This window comes from Homo sapiens, chromosome X (genome assembly GCF_000001405.40).
Source record: "Homo sapiens chromosome X, GRCh38.p14 Primary Assembly".
NCBI classification, from domain to species: Eukaryota; Metazoa; Chordata; class Mammalia; order Primates; family Hominidae; genus Homo; species Homo sapiens.
The window spans coordinates 100,133,119-100,139,089 of record NC_000023.11 but is presented as its reverse complement, the minus strand read 5'-3'; the positions used below and the strand labels follow the sequence as shown (position 1 = coordinate 100,139,089).

The 5,971-nt window shown below is 40.2% G+C and overlaps 2 annotated features.

The window, feature by feature from the left end:
- Positions 3,181-3,721: an enhancer, noted in NCBI's record as "H3K27ac-H3K4me1 hESC enhancer chrX:99390367-99390907 (GRCh37/hg19 assembly coordinates)". NCBI's record gives its function as "activates a minimal SCP1, AML or CMV promoter by ChIP-STARR-seq in naive H9 embryonic stem cells {active_cell/tissue: H9 hESC(naive)}" and the evidence as "EXISTENCE:reporter gene assay evidence [ECO:0000049][PMID:30033119]".
- Positions 3,722-4,263: an enhancer, noted in NCBI's record as "H3K27ac-H3K4me1 hESC enhancer chrX:99389825-99390366 (GRCh37/hg19 assembly coordinates)". NCBI's record gives its function as "activates a minimal SCP1, AML or CMV promoter by ChIP-STARR-seq in naive and primed H9 embryonic stem cells {active_cell/tissue: H9 hESC(naive and primed)}" and the evidence as "EXISTENCE:reporter gene assay evidence [ECO:0000049][PMID:30033119]".

Sequence of the window (5,971 nt, the reverse complement as noted above, 5' to 3'; positions counted from 1 at the left end):
ATCAGCTTAAGGAGATTTTGGGCTGAGACAATGGGGTTTTCTAGATATACAATCATGTCGTCTGCAAACAGGGACAATTTGACTTCCTCTTTTCCTAATTGAATACCCTTTATTTCCTTCTCCTGCCTAATTGCCCTGGCCAGAACTTCCAACACTATGTTGAATAGGAGCGGTGAGAGAGGGCATCCCTGTCTTGTGCCAGTTTTCAAAGGGAATGCTTCCAGTTTTTGCCCATTCATTATGATATTGGCTGTGGGTTTGTCATAGATAGCTCTTATTATTTTGAAATACGTCCCATCAGTACCTAATTTATTGAGAGTTTTTAGCATGAAGGGTTGTTGAATTTTGTCAAAGGCTTTTTCTGCATCTATTGAGATACTCATGTGGTTTTTGTCTTTGGCTCTGTTTATATGCTGGATTACATTTATCGATTTGTGTATATTGAACCAGCCTTGCATCCCAGGGATGAAGCCCACTTGATCATGGTGGATAAGCTTTTTGATGTGCTGCTGGATTCGTTTTGCCAGTATTTTATTGAGGATTTTTGCATCAATGTTCATCAAGGATATTGGTCTAAAATTCTCTTTTTTTGTTGTGTCTCTGCCAGGCTTTGGTATCAGGATGATGCTGGCCTCATAAAATGAGTTAGGGAGGATTCCCTCTTTTTCTATTGATTGGAATAGTTTCAGAAGGAATGGTACCAGTTGCTCCTTGTACCTCTGGTAAAATTCGGCTGTGAATCCATCTGGTCCTGGACTCTTTTTGGTTGGTAAGCTATTGATTATTGCCACAATTTCAGCTCCTGTTATTGGTCTATTCAGAGATTCAACTTCTTCCTGGTTTAGTCTTGGGAGACTGTATGTGTCCAGGAATTTATCCATTTCTTCTAGATTTTCTAGTTTATTTGCGTAGAGGTGTTTGTAGTATTCTCTGATGGTAGTTTGTATTTCTTTGGGATTGGTGGTGATATCCCCTTTATCATTTTTTATTGCGTCTATTTGATTCTTCTCTCTTTTTTTCTTCATTAGTCTTGCTAGCGGTCTATCAATTTTGTTGATCCTTTCAGAAAACCAGCTCCTGGATTCCTTAATTTTTTGAATGGTTTTTTGTGTCTCTATTTCCTTCAGTTCTGCTCTGATTTTAGTTATTTCTTGCCTTCTGCTAGCTTTTGAATGTGTTTGCTCTTGCTTTTCTAGTTCTTTTAATTGTGATGTTAGGGTGTCAATTTTGGATCTTTCCTGCTTTCTCTTGTGGGCATTTAGTGCTATAAATTTCCCTCTACACGCTGCTTTGAATGTGTCCCAGAGATTCTGGTATGTTGTGTCTTTGTTCTCGTTGGTTTCAAAGAACATCTTTATTTCTGCCTTCATTTCGTTATATACCCAGTAGTCATTCAGGAGCAGGTTGTTCGTTTTCCATGTAGTTGAGCGGTTTTGAGTGAGATTCTTAATCCTGAGTTCTAGTTTGATTGCACTGTGGTCTGAGAGATAGTTTGTTATAATTTCTGTTCTTTTACATTTGCTGAGGAGAGCTTTACTTCCCAGTATGTGGTCAATTTTGGAATAGGTGTGGTGTGGTGCTGAAAAGAATGTATATTCTGTTGATTTGGGGTGGAGAGTTCTGTAGATGTCTATTAGGTCCGCTTGGTGTAGAGCTGAGTTCAATTCCTGGGTATCCTTGTTGACTTTCTGTCTCATTGATCTGTCTAATGTTGACAGTGGGGTGTTAAAGTCTTCCATTATTAATGTGTGGGAGTCTAAGTCTCTTTGTAGGTCACTCAGGACTTGCTTTATGAATCTTGGTGCTCCTGTATTTGGTGCATATATATTTAGGATAGTTAGCTCTTCTTGCTGAATTGATCCCTTTACCATTATGTAATGGCCTTCTTTGTCTCTTTTGATCTTTGTTGGTTTAAAGTCTGTTTTATCAGAGACTAAGATTGCAACCCCTGCCTTTTTTTGTTTTCCATTTGCTTGGTAGATCTTCCTCCATCCTTTTATTTTGAGCCTATGTGTGTCTCTGCACGTGAGATGGATTTCCTGAATACAGCACACTGATGGGTCTTGACTGTTTATCCAATTTGCCAGTCTGTGTCTTTTAATTGGAGCATTTAGTCCATTTACATTTAAAGTTAATATTGTTATGTGTGAATTCGATCCTGTCATTACGATGTTAGCTGGTTATTTTGCTCGTTAGTTGATGCACTTTCTTCCTAGCCTCGATGGTCCTTACAATTTGGCATGATTTTGCAGTGGCTGGTACCGGTTGTTCCTTTCCATGTTTAGTGCTTCCTTCAGGAGCTCTTTTAGGGCAGGCCTGGTGGTGACAAAATCTCTCAGCATTTACTTGTCTGTAAAGTATTTTATTTCTCCTTCACTTATGAAGCTTAGTTTGGCTGGATATGAAATTCTGGGTTGAAAATTCTTTTCTTTAAGAATGTTGAATATTGGCCCCCACTCTCTTCTGGCTTGTAGGGTTTCTGCCGAGAGATCCGCTGTTAGTCTGATGGGCTTCCCTTTGAGGGTAACCCGACCTTTCTCTCTGGCTGCCCTTAACATTTTTTCTTTCATTTCAACTTTGGTGAATCTGACAATTATGTGTCTTGGAGTTGCTCTTCTCGAGGAGTATCTTTGTGGCGTTCTCTGTATTTCCTGAATCTGAATGTTGGCCTGCCTTGCTAGATTGGGGAAGTTCTCCTGGGTAATATCCTGCAGAGTGTTTTCCAACTTGGTTCCATTCTCCCCATCACTTTCAGGTACACCAATCAGACGTAGATTTGGTCTTTTCACATAGTCCCATATTTCTTGGAGGCTTTGCTCATTTCTTTTTATTCTTTTTTCTCTAAACTTCCCTTCTCACTTCATTTCATTCATTTCATCTTCCATTGCTGATACCCTTTCTTCCAGTTGATCGCATCGGCTCCTGAGGCTTCTACATTCTTCACGTAGTTCTCGAGCCTTGGTTTTCAGCTCCATCAACTCCTTTAAGCACTTCTCTGTATTGGTTATTCTAGTTATACATTCTTCTAAATTTCTTTCGAAGTTTTCAACTTCTTTGCCTTTGGTTTGAATGTCCTCCCGTAGCTCAGAGTAGTTTGATCGTCTGAAGCCTTCTTCTCTCAGCTCGTCCAAGTCATTCTCCATCCAGCTTTGTTCCGTTGCTGGTGAGGAACTGCGTTCCTTTGGAGGAGGAGAGGCGCTCTGCTTTTTAGAGTTTCCAGTTTTTCTGTTCTGTTTTTTCCCCACCTTTGTGGTTTTATCTACTTTTGGTCTTTGATGATGGTGATGTACAGATGGGTTTTTGGTGTGGATGTCCTTTCTGTTTGCTATTTTTCCTGCTAACAGAGAGGACCCTCAGCTGCAGGTCTGTTGGAGTACCTTGCCGTGTGAGGTGTCAGTGTGCCCCTGCTGGGGGGTGCCTCCCAGTTAGGCTGCTGGGGGGTCAGGGGTCAGGGACCCACTTGAAGAGGCAGTCTGCCCGTTCTCAGATCTCCAGCTGCATGCTGGGAGAACCACTGCTCTCTTCAAAGCTGTCAGACAGGGACATTTAAGTCTGCAGAGGTTACTGCTGTCTTTTTGTTTGTCTGTGCCCTGCCCCCAGAGGTGGAGCCTACAGAGGCAGGCAGGCCTCCTTGAGCTGTGGTGGGCTCCACCCAGTTCGAGCTTCCTGGCTGCTTTGTTTACCTAATCAAGCCTGGGCAATGGCGGGCATCCCTCCCCCAGCCTCGCTGCCACCTTGCAGTTTGATCTCAGACTGCTGTGCTAGCAATCAGCGAGACTCCGTGGGCGTAGGACCCTCCGAGCTAGGTGCGGGATATAATCTCGTGGTGCGCCGTTTTTTAAGCCCATCGGAAAAGCGCAGTATTCGGGTGGGAGTGACCCGATTTTCCAGGTGCCATCCGTCACCCCTTTCTTTGACTCAGAAAGGGAACTCTGTGACCCCTTGCGCTTCCCAAGTGAGGCAATGCCTGGCCCTGCTTCGGCTGGCGCACAGTGCGCGCACCCACTGACCTGCGCCCACTGTCTGGCACTCCCTAGTGAGATGAACCCGGTACCTCAGATGGAAATGCAGAAATCACCCATCTTCTGCGTCCCTCACGCTGGGAGCTGTAGACCGGAGCTGTTCCTGTTCGGCCATCTTGGCTACTCCTCCTCCAGGTCTTCTTATGCTAATTAGGATAATATCCATCTGTGTGCAGGTCAGGGCTGTGCCCAGGTGTTCTTAACAACTTTATGGGTTCTCTTTCCTACGCTCCTCATGCTCTATTTTTCGGTACTTGCTGGTTCCCTGGTGCTTCTTTATAAATTCTTCCAGTCAGAAACCACCAATATTGTGCTGCTTCTGGGGATAAGGTGTGGGAGGACAGGAGAGAGAGAGAGAAGAAAAAACAGCAATGGAGTTTGGTCTCATCCTGTTGATTTCTTAGCTTCCCACCTAATGGAGAGGATGTTTTTCTTGCCATTGTCACTACAGGACTACTTGAAAGCTTGGATGGGAGAGAACAGAAAAAATGAAGAGAAAAAAAATCCTAGTGGTTTTCTCCACTTTCTTTGAGGTTTACCAGTTCTCTTTCCTATTCCTTGAGTCAGGTTTCTCCTGGATGTCTCTCTGTTTGCACCATAGTACTCACTATTGTGTTTCAGACTTCATTGAGTTGAGGATCGAAATACTAGAACAGAACAATTGGTAAAATCACCACTGGTTTTGTTTTGCTTAAAATTCTGGTATCCTCCAATCTGTTGTAATTTAATTTTCTCTCTTCAAATGGCTGGTCCATGAATTCTGTCTGGGTTTATATTTGTAATCAGCTGGACAGAAAGAGTGGCATGTATTTATTTAACGTTACTTGGAATGAGTTACTTATTATCCCTTTAAATATCTGTGGAATATGTTGTGATGTTCCCTTCTCAATTCCTGATATTGGTAATTTGTGCCTTCCCACTCTTTTTTCTTGCTGAAGCTAGTAGAAGTATATCAATTTTATTGCTTCTTTCAAAGAACCAGATTTTGGTATAATTGATTTTTCTCTACTTTTTTCTGTGTCCTCTTTCATTAATTTCCTATCTTTATTATTTCTTTAGTTTGTATATTTTGGTTTAATTGACTCTTCTATTTGTCCTTTTCTTCTTTATTTCCTTTTACCTTCTCTTGACTTTTTTTTGGATTGTGCATTTTTAAAACATTTTATTCCATGCACTCTTCTTCTCTTATTAGCTAATGTCTTTGATATATTTTTCAGTAATTTCCCAAGTCTTTAAAATATGCATTTTATGATCTCACAGTATACCTTTTCAAATAATCTTATATTATTATATGTATAGCATAATAACCTACAAGGGTATACTTCTATTTTCCTCCAATATTTTATGCTCTTGTTTTATACATTTTACTTTTATATATGTTACAACCTTCACAATATTATTATCATTACTTTTTTGCTTTTACAGTTAATTAATAAAGAGATTTAAAATGATAAAATATATTTTATGTTTATCCATATTACCATTTCTGGCACTCTTCAGTGTTTGAGTGGCTACACATTACTATTTAATATAATTTTCCTCTGGCTGAAGAATTTCCTTTAATATGTCTTTTACTGCAAGTTTTTTTTCAACTTTTGCTATTCTGAAAAAAAAATCATTTGGCTTTTTTTTTGAAACCTATCATTTCTGAGGTTAGAATTCTAGGTTGACACTTTTTTTTTTTGTTTTCTTTCAGTGTTTTGGGAATGTGTCTCTATTATTTTATGGCTTCCATGGTTTCTGAATAGAAGTGTGATGTAATTGTTATCTCTGCTATGCTATATGTAATGTGTTCCTTTCCTCTGCCTTCATTTTGGATTTTTTAAATTATCACTGGTTTTCAGCAATTTGATTATGTTGTGCCTTGGGGTTTTCTTTATGTTTCTTCTGCTTGGGATTTTTTGAGTTTCTTGGTTTATTACACTTATAACTGTCATCAAATTGGAAAA